Consider the following 25,831-nt stretch of genomic DNA (forward strand, 5'->3'; position numbering starts at 1 on the left):
GTTGGAGTGGCTGCAGCAATTTCCTAAAATAAGACAACAAGGAAGTTTGCCTCATTGATTGAATCTTCTTTTCACAAGGAATGTCTCCATCACATGCAATACCATGTGATAGCATGTTACCCACAGTAGAACTACTTTCAAAATTGAAGTCAATTCTTTCAAACCCTGCCACTGCTTTATCAACTAAGTTGATGTAGTATTCTAAACATTTTCTTGTCATTTCAACAAAGTTTACAGCATTTTCATTAAGAGTAGTGTCTATCACAAGAAACCATTTTCTTTGCTCATGTATAAGAACAACTCCACATCCTTTAAAGTTTGATCATGAGATTGCGGCAATGCAGTCACATCTGCAGGCTTTACTTTTAATTCTAGTTCTCTTGTATTTACCACATCTGCAGTGACCTCCTCCACTATAGTCTTGAACCCCTCAAAGTTATCCAAAAGGGTTGGAATCAACTTCTTCCAAACTCCTGTTAATGTTGATATTTTGACCTCCTCCCGTAAGTCACAAATGTTCTTAATGGCATCTAGAATGGTGAATACTTTCCAGAAGCTTTTCACTTTACTTTGCCCAGATCCATCAGAGGAATCACTATCCATGACAGTGATAGTCTTACAAAATGTATTCTTAAATAAGATTTGAAAGTCAAAACTACTCCTTGATCCATGGACTGCAGAATGGATGTTGAGTTAGCAGCCATGAAAACAACCTTTGTCTCCATCGGAGCTCTTGGGTGACCAGGTGCATTGGTCACTGTCAATGAGAAGTAGTGTTTTGAAAGGAATTCTTTTTTTCTGAGCAGTAGGTTCCAATGGTGGGCTTGAAATATTTAGTAAATTATGCTGCAAACAGTTGTGCTCTCATCTAGGCTGTTATTTCATGTAGGAAGCACAGGCAGAGTAGATTTAGCATAATTCTTAAGGGCCCTAGGATTTTCAGAATGGTAAATGAGCATTTGCTTCATCTTAAAGTTGCCAGCTACATTCGTCCCTAACAAGAGAATCAGACTGTTCTTTGAAGCTTTGAAGCTAGACATTGACTTCTCTTCTCTAGCTATCAAAGTCCTAGATGGAATCTTCTTCCAACAGAAGCCTATTTTGTCCACATGCAAAATCTGTTATTTATTTATTTATTTATTTATTTATTTATTTATTTATTATTTTTTGAGATGGAGTTTCACTCTTGTTGCCCAGGCTGGAGTACAATGGAGCGATTTCAGCTCACCACAACCTCCGCCTCCCGGGTTCAAGCGATTCTCCTGCCCCAGCCTCCTGAGTAGCTGGGATTACAGGTGCCCGCCACCACACCAGCTCATTTTGTATTTTTAGTAGAGATGGAGTTTCTCCATTTTGGTCAGGCTGGTCTCAAACTCCCAACCTCAGGGGATCCGCCCGCCTCAGTCTCCCAAAGTGCTGGGATTACAGGCATGAGCCACCACTCCGGGCCACAAAATCTGTTTTTTAATGCAGCCACCTTAATTAATGATCTCGGCTGGATCTTCTGGATAACTTGCTGCAGCTTCTACATCAGCACTGTCTGCCTGACCTTGCACGTTTATGTTAGGAAGACAGCTTCCTTCTTTGAACTTCATGACCTAACCTCTGCTAGCTTCAAACTTTTCTTTTGCCTCTTCCTCACCTCTTTTGAGCTTTCATAGAGCTAAATAGAGTTAGGGTCTTTCTCTGGATTAAGCTTTGGCTTAAGGGGATGTTGTGGGCTGGTTTGATCTTCTATCTAGACCACTAAAACTTTCTCCATATCAGCAATAAGGCTGTTTCGCTTTCTTATCATTCAAGTGTTCACTGGAGTAGCATTTTTCATTTGCTTCAAGAACATTTACCTTGAATTGACAAGTTGGCTAGCTGTTTGGCACAAGGAGCCTAACTTTCAGCCTATCTCAGCTTTCAACGTGCCTTCCTCACTAAGCTTAATCATTTCTAGTTTTTGATTTAAAGTGAGAGATGTGTGACTCTTCCTTTCACTTGAACACTTACGGAACACTGTAGGGTTATTAATTGGCCTAATTTCAATATTGTTGTGCCGCAGGGAATGGGTAGGCCCAAGGAGAGGGAAGGAGACGGGAACTGCAAGTCAGTGGAACATTCAGAACACACACATTTATCAATTAAGTTTGCCATCTTATATGGTGTGGTTCTTGGCAACCCAAAACAATTGCACTGGTAACATCAAAGAACACTGATTGGCCAGGCTTGGTGGCTCATGCCTGTAATCCCAGCATTTTGGGAGGCCGAGGTGGGTGGATCACGAGGTCAGGAGTTCGAGACCAACCTGGCCAACATGGTGAAACCCCGTCTCTACTAAAAATACAAAAATTAGCCAGGTATGGTGGCACATGCCTGTAATCCCAGCTATTCAGGAGGCTGAGGCAGGAGAATCTCTTGAACCCTGTGAGGCGGAGGTTGCAGTGAGCCGAGATCATGCCACTGCACTCCAGCCTAGGCAACAGAGCAAGACTCCATCTCAAAGAAAAGAAAAGAAAATTACTGATCCCAGATCATCAGAACAGATATAATAATGAAAAAGCTTGAAATATTATGAGAATTACCAAATGTGATACAGAGACATGAAGGGAACACGTGCTGTTGGAAAAATAACATCAATGGGCTTGCCCGACACACAGGTGCCACAAATTTTGAATTTGTAAAAAAGCACAGTATTTGCAAAGCTCAAAATAAAAAAAAAAACCCAAAGCACAATACAACAAGGTATGTCTATGGATGATAATACAAATCATGTGCCCACAGGTCACACAATACACACGTTGGCATTGCAAGCATATTCGAGATACCACTAATGACAAGCATAGGTAAAGGAATTGGGAAGAAATGCATAGATTCGAGAGAAACTTAGAAAATAGACTGAATTGTGTTTGAAGATTGGTTGGATACTACTAGTAAGGGAGAAGAAGGAGTAAAGCATGAAGCTATTTTCAGTCTTGGGCAACTGGGTGGGTGGGGGCACTGGCCCATGAATTAAGAAACCAAGCAGGAAGATCTGTGTCGGAGAGGATAATTGAGTCTGTTTTGGATTTGAGTTCGAAGAATCAAAAGGAGCTCTTCAAATTGAGATTTTCAATAGGAAGTTGAAAATATGAAGATTACAGACCTTTACATGCATCATGATTTTTCATGATTTAAATAGCCTAATATTTTAAATCATGGGGGTTGATAAGAACTGAAGGAATACTGTGTAAAATAAGAAAAGAACATAAAAAGGGGTCAGGCATGGTGGCTCATGCCTGTAATCCCAGCACTTTGGGAAGCTGAGGCAGGCGAGTCACCTGAGATCAGGAGTTTGAGACCAGCCTGGCCAACGTGGTGAAACTCCATCTCTACTGAAAATGCAAAAATTAGCTGGGCATGGTGGCATGCACCTGTAATCCTAGCTACTCGGGAGGCTGAGGTAGGAGAATTGCTTGAACCCAGGAGATGGAGGTTGCAGTGAATCAAGATTGCACCACTGGATTCCAGCCTGGGTGACAGAGCGAGACTCCATCTCAAAAAACAAAACAAAACAAAACAAAACAAAACATAAAAGGGAAAAAAGATGCCCTCTTGGCATCCAAACTCTTAAGTCAGAGGTTCATTACAGGACTTAGCGGGCAAAAATAAGAAAAACGGTGTTGCCCATTTTCTTCCCCTCTTCTACCTACCTGCTGGTTCCAGGCACAGGTATCTCTTCATGTTCTTAAGGCTTGAGAGTACCCTGAAAGCAGCAGCAGTGAATGTGTGGGGTGATCTCATTCACCCAGCAAATATGGGGTATCTACAGTGTGTCAGATACTGTACTAAGTTTCTGTTGATCAAAAAAAAAAAAATCATACTTCTCTCCATTCTCAAAACAATTCAGATGCTTGGGGTAATGCATGGACCCCAGAATTATAATTCTAGTGGCATTACAGGGCCTTCAGAATTGTAATTCCAGCATCAGAATGGAAGACCAAGATCGGGTCTTTGTCAGTGTCCTGGGGATAATCAGAAGATCTCTGCCCAACAGATTCACATGACTGTCTTGCTAAAGGAGGTTAATTCATTCAAAGATGGGAAGTGGGAGAATCCAAGAAAGTTCACTTCCTATATTCCCTGATCCTACACCTTGGGAACTTTTTTTGCCCAGCAGATATCTTTGATGTTACATTTTCTTGCCTCTCTTAGCTCTGAGTGTCAAAAAAATATATTTTCAGTTTTGAGGGGACTGTTTCTAACACACTTCCTTCACTCCTTATATAGGGTATAGTGGGCAATATCCATCCATCCTTTATGAGTCAGGTCACCTTATAAATATCAATTATTAAACTGAGTAATCACGTAGTGATGTCTCATTGACCTGAGTGCTAAATGGCTATAGATTGAGATGCTCTTGGTTTGTCTTTTGTCTTTTTCCTTTCTGACACAGAGCATTTTTCTAAGAATCATCTCTAATATGAAAACTAGAAAACAAAATTGGCAAGCTTGGGAGGCTCTGGAATATCTGCAGTGTATGTACAATAATAGAAAATAGACTCTTTGTAAGGGTCTTTGCATGAAATTTTGGGCATGGCTACTGAAACACCTATGTAGATATACAGGGGTGCTTTCATTCATTCATTTTTGCTTCCTCCTGAATACATAGCTGAAATTGCTTTAAGAATATATATGGATTTGGGAAAAGCAAAAAACAAAGCCACTGCCCCGGCTCCTACATTGTCACACCTGATCAAGGGATAATAGCTGAAGGTTGTGCTTCGCAACTCAGAGTCATACGGCACCTGTCATTATCTAAGCTGGGGTTCAGATGATGCTAGTTATCACCCACTCTCCAGATATTTGTTTTTATTCATTAACATGCCTGAGTGTTTTTGTCTAGTTATTGAGAAAGATGGGTTTAGAAATTAGGCTTCGCAACAGGACAGGCTGGGACAGAAGAGGCCTTCAGCCGAAAGCATGATTTGTGCATACCTAGGAAGAATCCCTTTGGGACCACCTGAAAGTGACCAACTAACAATAGGAAAGGAGGTTTTATTCTTTCTGGAGCTCACAGTATTATAATTTGGGCATAGATGTGGATGTAACCTCATTCCCAGCCCCAGGCTGGTGAGGCCTGGAGATATTTGGGCAACATGAGATAAGTAAATATATATTCAAATCCTTCTGGGAACCTGGGATAAGATAGTCTTGCTTTTTTAAAAAAAGAATACTTGTAACATGAAATAGCTATTTATGTTGATATTTGACTTAAGATGGCAGTTTGTTCAGCTTAGTTACTCCATCAACAGCAAAAAAATTCATATGTAGGAGATTATAGGAAAGCAGGAAGATTTACTGTTTTGGCAGGAAAAAAGGGAAAACACCAGCCATGATCAAGAAGTCAACAATCCTTAACAGAGTTGTAAAATTCAGTTCTGGAAGCAATGGCGGAATTCATAACTAGTTATTCAATCTATGTCCTTGTAACGGGACGGTCACGTCAAAGGAGAAACTGGACTTGGATGGGAGAAAAGGTTTGAAGTGATTTCTCACAACGTTAAGTCAAATTTGATTCCAAAGCATTCCAAGGGGCTATTTCAAGTCCTTTTATTGTTTTATACTTGTTCAATACCATTTCAGGCCAAATGAGAATGCATCAAGAAAGTCTTTGTTTACAGAGATGGGAGAGATGCAACAAAGTCCTATCAAGTCTGTAAGGAGAAGAAAAATCCACAGGTTGGAATTCTAGGAAACAGGCTCTACACAGATGGATGTGTCACCTGCCTCTGTTTACCCATCTTACTTTAACACAGATTAGCTGCCTAAAAAACATCCAGGTGACTCTACTGGGTATAGACATCTTGTGTGCAGTTCTTACAAATCAGTTCTAGGGAAAACAAAGCTGACTGTCAAAAGCCCGTTAATAGCAGACAAATTCTTCTGCAATCCTTCAAGCAATGTTTCTCAACTGTGATGTACATACATATCTCCTAGGAGGTATTGCAAAAATACAGATTCTGATTCAGAAGGTCCGGGGTGGGGCCTGAAATTTCATATTTCCAGATGAAATGCTGTTGGTCCAAGTCACACCTTAGCAAGTTGACTGTTTCTATACCATCCATAGATGGAGAAAAATCTCAATGCCCTTTCTCATCTAGAACTGTAGGAAAAAGCTATTAGCTAGAGAAGCAATGATTGTCCTTGTGTAGAATATGGGTTTAATTCTAGGCTGCCTGCCCTTGATGGATGAGCCTTATAGGTAATCACCAATTTAAAATAAAGAAAGATCAGTGTATAATTTTGTAGTCCCTGTCATCTGTCACAGTTATAAAATGCCATGTTGTGAAATGCTGAATTTACTCAGAACCCCCCCAGTTACTGGCAAAGTGTCCATGCTAAGTTTCTAATTTCAAATATGCTTTGTTGAAAAGCTTAGAAATTGTATCACTTCATGGAAAAGAGAGCACTGAGAAATTATATGACTTCATGGAAAAGAGAGCAAGCACTGCACTGAGATTCAGAAGACTTGCAATACAGTCTCAGTTTTGTCATTCATTTGCTGTGTGACATTGAGTCATGCCTTCTACCCTTCTGAGGCTCAAATATGAATTAAATAGCGCCAACTAGATGCCTTCTAGGAATGCTTTCAACTCTAATGTTCCACGTGCTATATAACATATGGAAACATAATTTAAGTTCTCACTAGCGATCAGGAAGTTGCCTTGTTAGTGGGATGCGGTTCATCATTAGTGTTAATATCTCTGGTTTTATATCAGTGAGAACAAAGAGGTGAGAGTGTAATAGTTGAGAGCACTGGCTTTGAAGTCAGGCAGAGTTGGGTTCAAATCCTGCTGCCTCATGTTCTAGGAGTCTCATGGATTACAAAATTGACTTAATTTGTCTGAAGTTCAGTTAGGTCATCTGTAAAGTCCGATCTGTGAAATGGGTAAGAAAATAAACCAGCCTCTTTGGAATATTGTAAGTAGAGTGGCCTAATGTTGTGGTTTGACGGGAACTGAGGGTTTTCCCTGGAAATGGGACTTTCAGTGCTAAAAGCAGAACAGTTCGAGGCAAACCGGGATGGTTGGCCACCCTACAGTCACAAGTGTCACCTGAGATAAACCTGTAAAGCACATAGAAAATATTCAATGGACACTAGCCATGGTTGTGAATAGCACATAAATATAGAGATATCAGGGTGAATTTTTTTTTTTTTTTGAGACAGAGTTTGGCCCTCGTTGCCCAGGCTGGAGTGCAATGGCACAATCTCAGCTCACTGCAACCTCCGCCTCCTGGGTTCAAGTGATTCTCCTGCCTCAGCCTCCTGAGTAGCTGGGATTACAGGCATGCACCACCACGCCCGGCTAATTTTGTATTTTTAGCAGAGACAGGGTTTCTCCATGTTGGTCAGGCTGGTCTCGAACTCCTGACCTCAGGTGATCTGCCTACCTCGGCTTCCCAAAGTGCTGGGATTACAGGCGTGAGCCATTCAACCAGAGCACGACCCAACTTTGCCTTTTTGACTCTAGATTTCTACTTTTTAAAGGTTATATGGTTTTCTTTCTTGAGAAACAGAGAGGACTGTGTAAATGTGACATATCAAGCCATACAAAATGGCTGCCTTTCTGCAAAATAAAATTTGAATCAAGGGACAGAATAGCCTCTTAATGATGAGCCCCCTACAAGCCTGGTTTGGGGATGCTGATGTGGCCACAGGCAGACATAGGCAGCACTCAGCAGCTCTGATGGATGCAACACCAGCCAGGAATGTGAGCAGCTGTCCTTTCTAACCCCGATGTCATTTGCTGAGGCAATGCCAACTTCCTTCTCTTCCATCAAAACATTCCAGAGTTCATCCTTGTCAGGCCATATACAGATATGTCTCCTACGATTTGCATAAGGCCATTGTTTCTGGAATTTGGGGATTTTCCAGCTAGAATGTCTCACGTATGCTATTCTGCACAGACAATTGAAGAGAATGCAGGAGCCAAATTCCCTTGTTATGGCTACTTCTGCCCTCTAACTGGTTCTCCTTTGGGAGCTTCTCTTCTCTTCCTTTCTACTCTCTGCCCACCTGGGCTACCCACTCCTCTGGGCTCAAGGTCCAATCAACCACACACAAAGCTTCAATTCTGGTTGTAAAGCTGTCAGTCACACCAGTTTCTCATATTTTCTGTCTTTGATTACTCTTAGTGTTATTTCTTCTCTAATTTCTCCTGTGGTTTATTAACTGCAATGTTGTCAACTTCATCCCAGCTTTAGGTGACCTGGAAACTATAACAGGACAACAGGTGATCTGTCCTGCTTGTCCAGGACAGTCCAGGATTGCACCTGTTGTCCCAGGTTACTAATTAATCGAACCCCCGTTTACTTTCAAAAATGTCCACGTTTGGAAGACAAACGATACAATCACACTATCCAGACCCAACCTCTCGAGTTCTACTTTCATCTGTTTTATATTGAGCAATGATCTCCCTTATAAGATTTTAATTTGAGTGTAACATTTTGATATGTTTGAACAAAACAAAATGAAAAATCAATCTTGCCAGAAAGGGCAAGACATTCATAAAAACAGCCAACTGATCAACCCGTTGTTTTGCCAGGCAGAGCGAAACATTTATGAAAACAGTCAACTGGTTTGAGGAGAAAATTCACCAAAAGCAATATAGCTAGAAGTCTAACATCTTAATGAGGAACAGTGCTCTTCGTCCAGACTTTATCGCTTTAGGTACAAGATGCCCAAAACACAAGTTTGTACCTTACGAGCAAAATTGTGAATTGTATATAGAAAAAAAAATAGAGGTGAATCACCAAGTAAATGGGTCATCAAAATGAATGTCTTCAATTCTACCTTAGGAGAAGCTTTTGGAGACAAGACTGGCAAATAAGTGGGCAGTATATATGACCCCATGGAAAGTCCTGGGGGTTTGGGATCCATCAAAGGACTGGAATTAGGATACTGACTTTTCTTCCAATGGTGTCCCTGCGGACAAATGGCTTAATGTCTCTGAACATTATTTTCATGACTTACGCTTTCATAAAAAGTTCAATTAACCATTGGTTTTCAAACTATGCTCTGCAGAGCCCAAGGATTTTTAGCAGAGGTGCCCTGTGCACCCTCAGGAGTTATACTTTTATTCGTTTTATATCAAGCAATGATCTCCCTTGTAAGATGAAAATTTGAGCTTAACATTTTGCTATGTTTGAACGAAAGATTTTGATGCAAAAATAAAACGTGAGCATTTATGGTTTAGGTAGCCTCTGAGCTCCCTCCAATTCTGGTATATGTGATTCTAAGGCCTTAGAAAATGTCAGCAGTTGGAGAACTATAGATAGAGATGAACAAAAGATTCCTCTGCTGTCTGCAAAGCCCTAAAGTAACTTGCTAATAAGTGCAGACCAAGAGGGCCTTAGGCCGTGTGCTCTGATCTATTAGAGAGGCTGATGGAGACCAGGGTGTGTCTGAGGAAAGTGCTAATACAGACATACAGAGCTGTGGCTGTGAGGTGTCTTCGCTGGAAAAGAGCATTCTGGGACTCTGAAAAGTGTTCCCCGAGATGTTCTCTATCACTCACAAAGACCCGGAGATTCTAAACTGGTCCAAAACTGATTCTAGATTTTTGGCAAAAGGCCTGGTGTCTGAAAATAATTACCAGTATGTCCAAAATTCTTTAAAAGTTCTAATAATAATAAAGTCTGGAGCATTCTAGCACTTGGGGGAGTGGGGTAGCATGTATAAAGTTAAAGAGATAAACACTCATCTGGGGTGAAAATTAAAATTCAGAAGAATTAGGTAAGATACCATCACGAGTGCAAAGGTAGATCAGGAAATCATGCTCCTTTCCTGTATTTCAGGTATCAGGAGAGAAAAACAGATAGTGGAAAGTGTGTGGCAGAAGCGCTTGCTTTCACTGGCCTGGAGGAAAAGTCAAATTTTGAGTCAGAAGAAAAAGGGTAGCAACACTGAGAAGTCTGTGTCCTGGCTGCTTGTGTGGTCAGGTGTACTGCTGGTAATCAAACTATGAACCTGGGGTCCATATGTCCTTCTCTTTATAAAAGTACGAAATAAGTTAGGGCTTAAGATTGAACTGCAATGAAAATTATTTTTGCTTTCCTTTTTTTATCTTAAAAATTTTTAAAGGGATTTTCCAAGTTTATATACTGTTTATCTCATATCTGGAACACTTTTAAATTTTGGTTAGATTTGGAGTAAGTTTGATTATAGTCTTTTCTATAGTCTTTTCTTGATCCTTAAAGAATGATTCATTTGATTGCTGTTTCTTATTTCACTGAACTTTTAATCATGTCACAATACTATTTTTAGGAGTGTCTATGGATTTCTACTGCCTGAGAAGATAAAGCCCCAAGTCTTCACATTAAAGACTCTCATAATCTCACATTGGCTTTCTTTTCAGTCCTTATGATCCAGAAACACCAGGTTACCCATTAGTTGCCAAGCACATTCTTTACCGTCTTCTTAGTGTCCATTCATCTACCCTCCCGCCACCATATCTCCTCCTTCATGAAGCTTTCCCAGCACAGGAACCCCAGGTGGAATGAATCACTTCTGCTCCCAGAATCCTCTGCTCCCAGTGATGGCCATTGTGGATCCTGCTGTTCCTATGTGTATAACCCCCTTGCTGTGTAGGCTGTAAGAAGCATGAGGACAGGGACTGTGCCTATTCTTTTTTATAACTGGCATTTAACATAGAGCCTGGCATATGACAGATGTCCAACAAATCATTTTAGAAGAAAATAATTTTCTTAATTAATGAATTTTTCATTGCATCTAAAAATTAGGGGGCTGAATAGTCCTTTAAATGGTGGATGCTTCTTTGGTCTGTTTTAACTTTATAAACTTACTTAAGTGGTTGTAAAATGAAGAGTGCTGTAAATCTGTTAAGACTACATCGTTTCAGTTAAGGATGACTGATTAAGCACATGTTTTTATTCCTACTCCTCTTCCAAATGTCCATAGAACTGCTATTCCCCCCACACAGAAAAACTAGTGAAAATATCTGCATTAATGCTGCAAAATAGGGAAAAGCATTATCCACATGAAAACAACTTGGAGGAATTTCTGCTGAATATAGTGCAGAGGCAAGAAGTCAGATGAAACCCACCCATAGTTGAAGATATGCAAAGTAGCCCCCACCGGAGCAGCCAATGGAAAAGCACCCCTGACGTGAGCTCTTGGAAATCTCCTTGAATCAAGGCCTTGGTGCGCCATCTATAAACGCTGCTAAAATGTCGTGGATATAAATGGAAAAGTTGAGGCTGGTTGACAAAGTTGATAAAACCTCTAAAAGATGATTCAAATGAACAAAATGTGTCAAAAACAAATTATGAGATAATCAGGGAAATGTGAACCCAGACTGGATATTTAATATTTCAATGATTGTTAAATTTCCTGTGGAATAATGGAACATGAGACTTTGGTTACACTTTGTATTTATTTATTTATTTATTACTATTTTACTTTAAGTTCTGGGATGCATGTACAGAACGTGCGGGTTTGTTACACAGGTATATGTGTGCCATGGTAGTTTGCTGCCCCTATTGACCTGTCCTCTAAGTTTCCTCCCCTCACTCCCCACCCTCCCAACAGGCCTGGTGTGTGTTGTTCCCCTCTCTGTGTCCACGTATTCTCATTGTTCTACTCCCACTTATGAGTGAGAACATGTGGTGTTTAGTTTCCTGTTCCTGTGTTAGTTTGCTGAGGATGTTGGCTTCCAGCTTCATCCATGTCCCTGCAAAGGACATGATCTCCTTCCTTTTTATGGCTGTGTAGTGTTCCATTGTGTTATGTACCACATTTTCTATATCCAGTCTATCATTGACGGGCATTTGGGTTGGTTTCATGACTTTGCTATTGTGAATAGTGCTGCAATAAACATACGTGTGCATGTGTCTTTATAGTAGAATAATTTATATTCTTTTGGGTATATACCCAGTAATGGTATTGCAGAGTCAAATGATATTTCTGGTTCTAGATCCTTGAGGAATCACCATACTGTCTTCCATAATGGTTGAACTAAATTACATTCCCACCGACAGTGTAAAAGCATTCCTATTTCTCCACAGCCTCGGCAGCATTTATTGTTTCTCGACGCTTTAATAATCACCATTCTGACTGACATGAGATGGTATCTTATTGTGGTTTTGATTTGCATTTCTTTAATGATCAGTGATGTTGAGCTTTTTTTCATGTGTTTGTTGGCTGTGTAAAAGTCTTCCTTTGAGAAGTGTCCATTCATATCCTTTGCCCACTTTTTGATGGGGTTGTTTGTTTTTTTCTTGTAGATTTGTTTAAGTTCCTTGTAGATTCTGGATATTAGACCTTTGTTAGATGGATGGATTTCAAAAATTTTCTCCCATTCTGTAGGTTGCCTGTTCGCTCTGATGATAGTTTCTTTTGCTGTGCAGAAACTCTTTAGTTTAATTAGATCCCATTTATCAATTTTGACTTGGCATTTTCATCATGAAGCCTTTGCCCATGACTATGTCCGCAAGGTTTGTCTAGGTTTTCTTCTAGAGTTTTTATGGTTTGGGGTTTTACATTTAAGTCTTTAATCCATTTTGAGTTAATTTTTGTATAAGGTGTAAGGAAGGGGTTCACAAGCATGGTGCTGAAACCCTGCATAGTGTTCCTAAGTACAAGAACGCTATGTGTGCCTTACAGAGAAAATGCATGTGTTCAGTAAGCTTCATTCTGGCATTACTTATAGTGCTGTTGGCGGTAAATTCAATGTCAATGAATCAACAACATAAATAAAGTGTCTTTAAACAGAAACATGCATTATACAAGTTTATGTATTAATCAGTTGACAAAAATGTTGTGGCCAGAGGCTCTCAGGAACCTAATCCTGTATTTTCCCTAGGAGCAATGATTCAGTATTCACTAATTCAGTGTTCACAGTGATTTTAAAAAACATAACTACCATGAATAACAAGAATTAACTGTAATCACAGATGAAATATGTGTCTGAAATTTGCTTCAAAGTAATCCAGGGGACTGGCAGTAGAAATATACATGGAACAGACTGGCCATTTGTAAATTGTTGAAGGTGTATGATGAGTACATGAGTGTTCATTATACTGTTCTCTCAACTTTTGTATATATTTGAAATTTCCAATAACAAAAGTTTTAATTTTTAAAAGAGAGAGACAGAATGGCATAGCAGAAATACAAGTTTGGATCTTCTTCAGGCATTAAAAAATCATTTAGTGTGGTATATAAAGAAATATAATTATTTAGAAGTAGAATGAATTAAATTTCATGTTAAGTATAAATGATCCAGTGCCATGTAAAGTCAGTATATACAAACCCCCCAAAGCAAAAGAGAGTGTATGAGTGTGGGCTCTATAAATTGTAGGTAATATAGAAACTTACATGTCATTTTTAGAAAGTGAAAAGAAAAAGACAAGAGACATCTAAATAAAAGCCTATGTTCTGCCATTTAACTGTAATAAAGCTCAGTTTCTAACTTTCAGGCTTGTCTATCCCATTAATAAATCTGCTTCAGGCTCCTGGGACAGCTCTGCCTGCCTCTGCTCCCTCCTCACTGGGAGAGTTCGTAACAGGTCAAGTCCGAGGGCTAATGCCCCACTTCGTCACTACCTGTTTCCACTGCAATGCCTCAACTTGCTCTCCAGCTCTCTGACACTTATTCAACAGTTAAGTTTGCCAAACTAAAGCCTCTATGTCCTTCCATCCTTCCTCATCTCCTACCACAGTGTTTTCCAAATCCATTCTGAGGGGTGCTACAGCTCCGGAGACATTCCCCAGGAGCACAAAGGCAGAGAAGCTGGAGTCCCGGGTGCTACTGCAGCATAGAGGGCTCTGCTTTTATCTGTTTTGTATTTTGAGTTTTGCAAAAGATTTTGCAAGAGGAAAAAATGTTCTGTTTTTTAGGAAAAAAAATTGAACAAGCCAAACTTCTGAGACATTTTTTATGATGGGAGCACATGGGGCTCAATGTGTGTGTGTGTGTGTGTGTGTGTGTGTGTGTGTATCCCAGCTGTTCCTGGTGAATCCTGGCTTACACCAGGTGAATGACTCAGACTTACTCTACATCTTTCATTCTGTTTTCTTAACGAAGAAAAGAAAAAGGCTCTTTTGCAGCCCAAATCGATATAGGTTCCTCTGAAGTGCTTAGCAATGGCCAGATTTGCATAAAGCTGTGTGTTGTTTTGGGATCTTCAGCTTGAGAAAGATTTGGAGAACTCTGAGAGATTTTAAATCATCATTATCATTTTTTGAGAGCCTTTTGTATGCTGGTCATCACACTAGTTACTTTGCATTTAGTATTGTATTTAAGGCTCTCGATAAACTTGCAAAGTAGTTGGTAGCATCTGCAGGCATCAGCACTCTAGCACAGGCAAGTGACCTATACCCAGATCTCATTAGCATAAGCCACAGAAGCTCACAAAAGCAAAATGCAGGAAATGACGAGTACAGCCTGTCTCTGGAAGGACCGGAATCCAGAGCTCCAATGCCAGCAGAATGCCCCCTGCCTTCTCTCCTCTCAGCCTTTATGTTTACTTAACATTTGTACAACTGGGAAGATGGTCACTTTACATGCTTTCCGTGAAAACAGAGACCTTTTTTGTTTATTTGTTTTATTTTCCTAAGGTCTTTTTTTTTACAGCAGGGTTAGGATAACAGAAAAATAAGTCGGCTTCACATGCACAACCTCTCCTATCATCAGCATTTCTCACCAGAGTGGTACATTTGTTGTAATTAATGAACCTACATTGACACATCATTATCACACAGAATCCTTAGTTTACATTAGGGTTCACTCTTGGTGTTGTATGTTTTATGTATAACGACATGGATCCATCATTAAAATATCATACAGAATAGTTTCACTGCCCTAAAATCTCTGTGATCTGACTGTTCATCCCTTCTTCACCCTAACCCCAGGAAACCACTCATCTTTTTACGGTTTTCATAGTTTTAGCTTATCCAGAGTGTCTTATTGGAATTGTAGTGTGAAGCCTTTTCAGATTGGCTTCTTTCACTTTGCAACATGCATTTGAGGCTCTTCCATGGCTTTTCATTGCTTGATAGCTCATTCCTTTTTCATGCCGAATAATATTCTGTTGTCTAGATGTACCAATGTATTTATTCATCTACTGAAGGACATCTTGGTTGCTTCTAAGTTTTGGCAATTATGTATAAAGCTGCTATAAACATCTGTGTGCAGATTTTTGTGTGGACGTAAGTTTTGAAGCCCAAGGAGTGAAACTGCTGGATTGTATGGTGAGACCTTGCATTTTCATTGCAATATTTCCAGCAGCTAGAACAATGTCTTGCACATGGAAGACACTCAAAATATACCTGTTGAATGAAGGGATGGAATGAAAGCGTGGTTGGAATTTTGCAAGTTCCGTCACTCTATGCTCATAGCAAAGAGACTGTGGCACATCCTGTTGTACAGTATATCATTGTGAGCATTGAGTATATCATTGTGAGCATTGAGTATATCATTGTGAGCACTGAGTATATCATTGTGAGCGTTGAGTATATCATTGTGAGCGTTGAGTATATCATTGTGAGCGTTGAGTATATCATTGTGAGCATTGAGTATATCATAGTGAGCATTGAGTATATCACTGTGAGCGTTGAGTATATCATTGTGAAAATTGAGTATATCATTGTGAGCATTGAGCAAATGCATCACTGTACCCTAGCCTGTCTCCAGCCAGCCTTCGGCATGGCCTCCACTAGTGGATTATTATATCTTACTTTTACCTAAGTTATTCCAAATAGGGGTTTGTTTTTTTTTTTTTTTTGGCATGATGTGTGTGACTCTAGAGATAAAACAAGATCAGAACATTGTCTTTCCATGAAACATACGGGCAGGTATGCATACACAGCTCTCTTTGACTCTGGGTGACCACAGAAGCCACTGTCATTTATTTAGGGGCAATTCCTCTTAGCTACAACCCACCAAATAATTTCGCTGTGCTTCTATAATTTTAATTTGAAAAAGAAGCATCCTCCCAAGAGTTGAGTCCTGAAGAGTGTCAAGCACTCAGCCTCAGATATCCTATACATTAAATGAAAGATTTGGAACAATGGCTCAAGGAATCATCTGGCTCATTCTAAACATCCTATCACCTGTCTCTCACCCACACCTAGGCCTAGCTCCTATTCATATTTTTTTACTATTTGGGACCAAATCTAGTGTATTTTCCTCCCCTTGGAGTTCTGAGGAGGTGCTATGTTTCTTCTGTATAAATCACACAAACGCATTCCAATATTAGTACTTAAAAAATGTAAGACTCTAGTAGGCCTTCCAGAGAAACAGACAATACAGAAATAATGCATAATATTTATATTGTATAATATAGACTCTATTAAAATATATAATGTTAGGTAATAAAAAGGCAAAGTATAGGACAATGCTGTCCCATAGAAGATTTCAATTTCTAGCAGTTACATTAAAAGTAAAACAAAAGCAATTAAATTAATTTAATAGTATATTTTATAAAACCAAATATATCCAAAATATATTTACTTCAACATGTAATGAATATAAACATTAAGGAGATATTTTACATTTTTCCCTACCTAATCTTCCAAATCCTTAAAAATCTTTGAAATTCAAATGTATTTACACTTACAGCATTTCTCAGTTTGGAAGCTAAATGTTCCAAGGTTAAAGAGAAATGTAGTTCCATCAGACAATCGAGTTGTTTTAACAGAGCAATATTTTACATTCCTTCAGTTTTCAAATTTAAATTGGCTACAGTTAAGTACAACTAGGAACTCGGTTCGTCGCTTGCATTGGTCACATATCACGGGCTCAATACTGGACAGCAAAGTACAGTATAGGAAGTTATGTTGCAGGGAGAGGCTGTTTGAGATAAAGAAGTCAGGGAGATCTTGTGTGAAGATGACACTCGAGCAGAGACGTGAATGGAATGAGAGCGGGAGGCTGCCAAGATGTGGGGAAAGAGCATTCCCGGAAAGGAGAAATAAAAAGTGCAAAGGTCCTGGAAATGGGATCGTAAACATCCAAACACACGTATAACCTTCAAAGCTGTGACCTTGTGGGCTGGGGAGATGGTGTCTATCTGCTTATTCTAAGGATGGTACAAAATCTTTTTGGTATCTGGGACACAAAGTTCCTAAAATATGCACTACTTCTCCTTTATGTCGTTCGTTGGAGCAAAACATGAGATTCCTCTTTGTTATTAAAAAAATAAGTAAAAGGAGCTTAAGGCTCTGAGTCTGGACCCAGGATTATCCAGCTGTGTCCCTCCAGCTCTGTGATGTGCACCAGTAAAGAGAAACGACAAGAACACAACTTCTAGATAATGCCACCTTGCAGACCGATGCTACTTGCTGTCGCCTCACCCGTGCCCTGGAGAAGGGCTCACGGTGGCCATCTGCATTTAGCTAATCTCAGTGTTATTTTCTCTCGGCAGTTTTCTGGACAGCTGACACCTTCGACAGTGATATGAGAAGTAGGCTCCCAAACAGCGCTGTCCAGAGTCCACTCAGAGAAGTCGAGCAAATGGATGAAAGCGTCCTTATCGTCGCTTTTTCTTAGGCAAGTTAGACAGAGGTGTGTACGCTGCTGAATAATCTCAGTCAGGGACAGAAAGTCTAGAAGGGCCAAATGGCCAAGAGCTGAAAGGTGTCTCAAGTGGGCCTTCCCCTCCAGGGAGCAGGAAGGACACGGAGTATAGGGGAGAAGGTCAAGGGACAAATGCTCCCAACTCCGTGCATATGGAAGTCCCTGCCGTACCCACACTCTGACATCTGCATACAAAAAGCAAATGCCAAGTGTGTGCACAGTATGGTTGAAATAAATAAGAAAGATAGAAGGGTTTAAAATAACCAAAATAGATTTGGTTAGAGTGATTGGTTGAATTTTTTCTACTAAATTATCTTAATAATTTGCATTAGTTAGAAGTCATAAAGAAACAAAGTTTGGGCTTTTTAATTTAGGGTTAGCCCTGTTTAGTCTTTCAGCTCCTCTGATCCCTACAGAATCCCCAGTGGGCCTTGAGAAGGAAGAATCCAGAGGTGTTTTGCTCAGGCCTGACTCCAACACGTCTCCTGAATTAAAGCCCCATAAAGATAATATTCAGCCTTAAAAAAGAAAGAAAGAAATATTGCCATTTATGACAACATGGATGGATCTGAAGGACATTAGGCTGAGTGAAATAAGCAAGTCACAAAAAGACAAATAGCACATGATCTCACTTCTATATGGAATCTAAAAAAGTCAAATTCATAAAAGTTAGAGTTGTTACCAAGAGCTGGGAAGGCCAGAGTGGGAAGCTGTTGGTCGAAGGATATAAAATTTCAGTTAGGAAGAATAAGTTCAAGAGCTCTATTGTACAACACAGTGACTACAGTTAATAACAATGTATCGTATGCTTGAAAATCCCTGGGAGAATAGACTTTCAGTGTTCTCACCACAAAGAAATAGTAGGTAGCTGAGGCAATACGTATGTTAATGAGTTTCATTTAACCATTTCACAATGTATGCAGATTTCAAAACATCATGTATACACCATAATTATATGCCATTTGTATTTGTCAATTTTTTTTAAAGCCTGTGAGGTTGAGAATACTCCTGCTTGTTTACCAGGTAGCTCCACACTCAAAAAATATTTATTGAATGAATGGCCAACATCGTATTGTAAGTCACAGCCCAAACTACCAGCCAGGAGAACAAATGCATAGAAGAAGAACCGTGCGCTGCAGGGAGAAGCAGAGGGTTTTAGAAAATGAGCTCGCAACAAAAATTAGCCAGGAGTGGAGGCGGGCGCCTATAATCCCAGCTACTTGGGAGGCTGAAGCAGGAGAATCACTTGAACCCGGGAGGCGGAGGTTGCAGTGAGCCGAGATTGTGCCACTGCACTCGAGGCTGGGTGACAGAGCAACATCCTGTCTAAAAAAAAAGGAAAAGGAAGGGAAGGGAGGGGAGGGGAGGGGAGGGGGGGGGAAGGGGACGGGAGGAGGGGGGAGGGGAGGGGAGGGGAAGGGAAGGGAAGGGAAGGGAGCCCCTGAAGGCATTTCTGGAGTCAGCTGAGGAAGGAGGTTCCAGGCAGCTGCTTTGAAGTTTATCCAATGCCTATGGATTTTTAAGTCCAGGGACAAAAGGGACTGGGGACACAATAACACCTGCCCTCACAGGTTCAAGATGCTTTTAACTAGCATATGTGTTTGCCCTGCCATTCGGAAGCTAAAACAAGACAGGCAGTGGACCCAGCCCCATGCCCTCACTGACCATCCAGCAGTAAAGATGAGCACCTGGCACCCTGCATGGGGACACGCAGCTGACAGATACAGGGGGAGTGCCGAGCCACGCCTCCTTGCTGCCCTTGGGAGAGATCTGGGAGAGAGAAGAGAAGCAAATGATCTCTCTTGACCCTCCAGTCAGATAGTATCTTTCCATCCTCTGGCCTCCCATACTACCATCTAAAGTGTCATCAGGTAGAAGGCAGAGCAGATGTCCTTGGCCCTTCCAGAAGGAAGCATTCAGCTCAGTCTGACAAAGAACTCCCTTGCCGTCAGTGCTACACGCAGGATGGGCTGCTTCTCAAAGCCAGGTCCCTGTCCCAGCCTTAAGGACCATGTCTGCAATGTGACAGAGGAAAAATCTCCATTTGGAGGAGGCTTGAACCCGATGATCTACCTTTCTAATAACAGGGAGCTGGCATCTATGGCCAACACCAACTGGCCTGCCCCAGCAATGGACCTGGATACATCATACTCCACTCCAACCTCTGGACTCAAAAGCCTGCGAGTCCTTTGTCCCCTGGCTGTGGAACAGCCTATAATTTATCATGCAAACTTAGGACACTGTTTTTTGGGTTTTTTTTTTTTCTTTAATTTTTTTTTTGAGACAGAGTCTTGCTCTGTCACCCAGGGTGGAGCTCAGTGGCGCCATCTCCGCTCTCACTGCAACCTCTGCTTCCCAGGTTCAAGTGATTTTCCTGCCTCACCGTCTGGAGTAGCTGGGACTACAGGCGCACCCCACCACACTTGGCTAATTTTTGTATTTTTAGTAGAGATGAGGTTTTGCCATGTTGGCCAGGCTGGTCTCGAACTCCTGACCTCAAGTGATCCGCCCAACTCAGCCTCCCAAAGTGCTAGGATTACAGGCATGAGCCACTGCACCCGGCCTTAGGACACTTTTTCAAGTGAAAGACGACAGTAATAATAACAATAGCAGTAGCACAACAGGGCAGATAAGGAGGTATAGTCACCATGACTAGAGTGCACTCTTAGCAAAAATGCCCAGACTTATGGTGGGATCTATAATTCTAAACCACAACATTTATTTTATTCATATTTTTATTTTTAGAGACAGGGTCTTGTTCTGCTGCCTTGGCTGTAGTGCAATGGGACGATCACAGCTCACTGTAACCTTGAACTCTGAGCTCAAAAAATCCTCCTGCCTGGCCTCTTGAGTAGCTGAGACTACCGGCTTCAGCCACCGTGCTGGCTAATTTTTGGTAGAGATGGGGGTCTCACTATGTTGTCCAGGCTAGTCTTGAACTCCTGGCCTCAAGCGATCCTCCCACCTCAGCTTTCCAAAGTGTTGAGATTACAGGCACGAGCCACCGTGCTTGGCCTAAACCACATTTATTAACATGCTAAAAATCTGCCTGGTACCATTAAAGACTGAAGCCTTTCAATGAATATAGCAATAAATATAGCAAGGCACTATCACATAAAAACCTGTGGGCTGGGAATTCTGGTGGATATGGAATACTTAATGAGGGTGGGAGAATTACAGAGAAATGGAAGTCCTCTGGTTTGAAGAGCAGGAGAGAAGTACTGAGAAAGTGAGAGTGGTAGGGGACAAATCAAATTGTATTTCTTTTTTTTTTATTTGAAATGGAGTTTCGCTCTTGTTGCCTAGTCAGTGCAATGGCACCATCTCAGCTCACTGCAACCTCCGCTTCCTGGGTTCAAACGATTCTCCTGCCTCAGCCTCCCGATTAGCTAGGACTACAGGCACGCGCCACCACACCCAGCTAATTATGTATTTTTAGTAGAGACGGGGTTTCACCATGTTGGTCAGGCCAGTCTTGAACTCCCGACCTCAGGATATCTGCCCGCCTCAGCCTCCCAAAGTGCTGGGATTGCAGGCGTGAGCCACCGCGCCCGGCCTCAGAATTGTATTTCTGTAGATATTTTTAATCATCCTTAAAATAACACTAAGGAAAACTCAACTCTTCATAAACGTGATTGATTTTGGGGGGCGGTTTGCGGGATGTCTGGAATAGAATTGGGGGAGATAAAGCTCCTACTCTACTGTCGCCTCACGGCACCATCACCAAGCCACACCTCTGTGCTGGCACTGCCTGGATTTACTATGAGCCACCCATGTGACTAAGCACATTTCTAAACATCTGACGCTCAGAGTCCTCAGTCTGTAAAGCCAAGCACCCAGAGGCCTTTGCCACTAGCTTTCCGTGTAGCTTGGACCTTCTGTGACCTCACTCTCCTGTTGACCTACAGCAAAATAGCTGACGTCATGCCAAGCCTCGCAGACCTACCAGAGTGATTCATTTAATAATATTTGTAATCTTTGAAAGATGAGGTTGCTCCATAAAAGGGTTAGAAAATAACTGTGACTTTTGTAATGTGTTAACATGCATACCTAGGAGTCTCTCCTGTCCAAACACCATTATAACCGCCTGCTCTCTTACTTTCTTTCACTGGCTTCTTATTTTTTTTCCCCTCTGGGGCTCCTAAAGTCAGACTCACATTGGAATGGTTTGCAAACTCCCGTCTTTCCTGATTGGGTCCATCTGAATGGAGCCGTCACCAATGTCTTCACAAATGGCATTTCCATTAACATTTCTATTTCTGTCCATTCGGGGCACCTAAAGATTTCCCACCAAGATTTACATCAACTATTTTAAGAACGTGCTTTTAAAAAGCCAATGAGTTTGCTAAGTTTAAATCTGACTTTCTCAAGGGATGCTTAAAAGAAATATACAAAGTTTTTTTAAAAGAACCTTTGTAAGTTCAAAATAACATTCCAAAAGGAGTCACTAGGAAAACATTCAAGGGAAGAGAAAAAATTTTTTTTTGCATTTGTGGCAGACCTGGCTTTATCTTAATGTTCTATGTTTGTTTTTCGACGCAGAAAAGTCAAATAGCCATAAGAGTCACAAAATAATTGAAAGAAAAATGGCTTGGTGCTTCTCATGTCTAGAATATTTATAGCAGAGGGAGGAGCTAGGCTGTGTATATCCATTATTCAACAGGCCAGGTAAAGACAGAAGATTGGCCAACGGCAGCTCAAAGACAGAGCCCTGGGGATTCTCTTAGGTCTTATGGAAGCTGCATCAGAGCTATTGCTAAACTATGTCAACTGTAACTTTCCATTAGCCTGATGACCTGTGATCTACCAATGCCACAACATGACTGGAATGCTCAGACAGTTACCAAACAGGAAGATAAGCCATGGGTAATTATTTCAATAGAAACTTAGAGTTGAAGTGATTGTTCCTGTAAGAGTCTATTAATTAGAATTAGATTTTGCTGCTAAACTAAAAAACTCTCCTAATAGTGGCCTAATCATAAAAAGAGTCCAGAGGTAGGCAGCCTGTGGCTGGTGTGATGTCTGGTATGGTGACACCAAAGAGTCATCAGGGACCCAGGCTCTGAACTGTATCCTCTGCCAACTTGAGCATGTGGCTTCCATTCTCCAGGTTACTTCATGGTCTCAAATAGCTATTCTCTATCATGGCTATCTATCAGAACGGCACACTTCAAGTAGGAGGAAAGAGAGAAAGGAGGGAAAGTGTGGTCTCCTCTATTTTAAAGAGATTTCTAGAAGCCCCGCACAACACTTCCATTACAGCTCATTGGCCAGAGCTTGGTCACATAACAATTACCAGCCCAAAAAAGACGGGGAGCTGCTAATTTCCACAAGTACCCATCAGTCTCTTTCACAAATAGCAACTGTGCTTACTGAGTCTTTTCGTGTCTTTCAGAAGCACCCGCTTGCCTAAATCCATCACTTCATACTGGAAAAGCCTTTATGAACATTTGCTCACATTAGGTGTAAAAAATAATCCAGAAGTTTAAAGAGAATGCTGTTTTCCATGAACTGTAATAAATGATAAGTATTTAAACCTTAAAATGGGTTGGGTGTGGTGGCTCACGCTTGTAATCCCAGCACTTTGGGAAGCCAAGGCGGGTGGATCACCTGAAGTCAGGAGTTCAAGACCAGCCTGACAAATATGGTGAAACCCCATCTCTACTAAAAATACAAAAATTAGCTGGGCATGATGGTGGGCGCCTGTAGTCCCAGCTACTCAGGAGGCTGAGACAGGAGAATTGCTTGAACCTGGGAGGCGGAGGTTGCAGTGAGCAGAGATCACACCACCTTGCTCCAGCCTGAGCGACAGAGAGAGACTCTGTTAAAACAAAAACAAAAACAAAACAAAAAAACCTTAAAATGGTAGGTAAGAGTATCTTCCTGTGCTTTCTCCAGAAATAAATAAGAAAAAAAAAAGTCCATGTTATAAATCTAATAATGATATGTTGTCCTAAATTTACTTTTGCAGGAAAATAAGAAAACCATTAGTTTTCCAGAGAACCCACGCTTACCCTGACATGCTTACAGCATTCATCAGCAGAGATCCTAAGGTCTCCATAATTCTATATAGAAGAGTTCAAGGGGTAACAGTCTGGTTGGGAGGGCAGAAGTTAGGGGGAGTTCGAGGTAGTAAAATTCTTCTTGAAGTTGCATGTCTAAGGCAAGTATGGTACCCATGACATGTCCAAAATCTGTTAATTTCAAGAAATATTTCCCAAACTTAGTAATCGCCCCTCCCATGAGGAAGCAGCTTTGCCACAAAAGGTAGTCTTGTGCTGCCAGCTTTCCCCGTGATCCTATACGATAAATGTTTACAGAGAAGGTGCCACTAACAGAACGGAGCCGTATTCAGACACCATTCTATAAAGGGGCTGCTTTTTCCTGGCAGCGTGCAAGATTCCTGGCAGGTTCCAAGATCTTGACTGATAATGTGAAGTGGGTCTTCTGGCTTTAACTATTTCTTTTCATTTTAACACAAAATAAGGGTTTCTTTACACCAAAATATATAATAATCAAAATAAAGGGCTTATTTGAGAATAACTGTGTCCATTATTTATACACTATGGGAGGAACTATGTGCCAGGCACAAAGCTGTTAACTTAAACTATGATCTACCACAAACTACCAATAACACGGCACTGGTGTTATCTACCACAACGGCTTCAGTGGGCAGGTTGTTGATTCAGTTAACGGGAAGGTGTTTCCATTCTGGTCTTTTCTGCCTCCTCCTCTTAAGCCTAGAGCCATGCAACCTCATGCCTACAAACAGGTTTAGGAACCTCCTGAAATCGTGTGTTAAGTTCTGTGTATTTGTGTGTTTGCATTGGGAGCAGGATGCTCGTGAGATTCCCAGAGAGGTCTGTGATTCTTAAAATTGCTGCCGTAATATTGTATATTTCAGCTAATGCAGATCTCCTAAAGAGCAAACCTGAAGGTTGCCTCTTTTCTCCCTATCTGCCAGGGGACAAGGAGAGGTGTCCTGGGTAGAGAGAACACCTTGTCTACCTGGTAAACTCCTGCTTAGACTTATTATCCCAGCACCAAATCTGTCTTTTCTGTAAAGCTTTCTCCCTACTTGTCTATGAATTCTCTGAAGCTCAGATTGACATTCCAGATACAGACGAACGAACAGATAGAGCCTCTCCTTTTGGTTGCCAGTTTTGCATTATTCACGGATCTACTTCTCTTCTGAATAAGATTAGTCTTTTCCTTAATTTGGGGTAAATATTAATTGCAGCGCGTGAAGTTGTGGAATGTTTAGGCTTCAAAACAAACAATTCTAATTCATTGAACTTTGATCCATCTCTTTCTCTTTTGTCTTGCAGATTCCAGTGCTGCAACTATATTCAATAAATGGGCCTTGTTCAAATCCTGAGTACAAATACTGTCTTCTCTTTAACGGAGCTGTTTCATGCTTCTGCCTTTCTGTAGAAGGAAAACAACGTCCATTCTCAGGCTTATCTGAATCTAGCACCACTTTTCACAAGTTATTTTTGCTTCAAGCTACTTTATGTGGTTCTCTATTAATTTCCTATCTCCACCCTCAACAGTAAGGAGATACTAAAAACTGTCCATTTGGTTCCGCTTGTGGGATTTTACTGATTTTTAATTTTGCAATACTGTCTTGCATATTTTAAATCTGCGTATCTCTAAGATGACTCTCCAGAGCTGATGAATTTTCTCTTCCATGCTGATGAGCCAGCCATGGGAGAGTGGAGGAGTGGGGGAGGAAAGAGTTACTGTCTCGCGAGCTGTGAGTCTGCCTGCCCACAGCGGCGTTTTGGATGAGACTCATTATTTGTGGAAATGGTGTGTTCCACAGGCAAAAATAACTTTTTAAAAAAAGAACATCTCTGCACTCTCCTGAAGTCATCTCAAAATGAATTCAAGATTTCTCATGAAATGGAGAAAGCTTTCTGATGGCCTGAATGGTTCCTTGTGTACTTGACCATGCCACGTTAAATCTAATCTAGGTAACATTAGGGTCCAGAAAAAGCTAATAGAGGCTTAATGATGAGGTAATGAGCACAGAGGTCAAGGGTAGGAAACAGGTTTTCTATTTGGAGCCTCATAGCCATGGGAAAATCTCAGTTGAGAACCAGAAAGAAGCAGAAAGGAGCAATTGAAGTAGAAGAATATGCTCCCTTTCCTTTACCTGATTTTAAATTAAACATGAAGGACACCACGTTTTGGATAATAACTTGTGTTCACATGAGGACCTGTTAAGGAAAAAAGAGAAAAAAGGAAGGAAAGGGAGAAGGTAA

At 41.0% G+C, this 25,831-nt stretch overlaps 1 long non-coding RNA gene across 2 annotated transcripts in view, besides 1 other annotated feature; it reads left to right on the forward strand.

The window, feature by feature from the left end:
* The window catches only part of LINC00670 (long intergenic non-protein coding RNA 670), an 87,220-nt gene that overhangs the window by 56,014 nt on the left and 5,375 nt on the right, over positions 1–25,831 (forward strand). The window lies entirely within an intron of this gene.
* Positions 24,486–25,685: an enhancer, noted in NCBI's record as "BRD4-independent group 4 enhancer chr17:12533784-12534983 (GRCh37/hg19 assembly coordinates)". NCBI's record gives its function as "activates an origin of replication core promoter dependent on BRD2, P300/CBP, MED14 and CDK7 cofactors, and independent of BRD4, by STARR-seq in HCT116 cells {active_cell/tissue: HCT116}" and the evidence as "EXISTENCE:reporter gene assay evidence [ECO:0000049][PMID:35650434]".

This window comes from Homo sapiens, chromosome 17, assembly GCF_000001405.40.
Source record: "Homo sapiens chromosome 17, GRCh38.p14 Primary Assembly".
NCBI classification, from domain to species: Eukaryota; Metazoa; Chordata; class Mammalia; order Primates; family Hominidae; genus Homo; species Homo sapiens.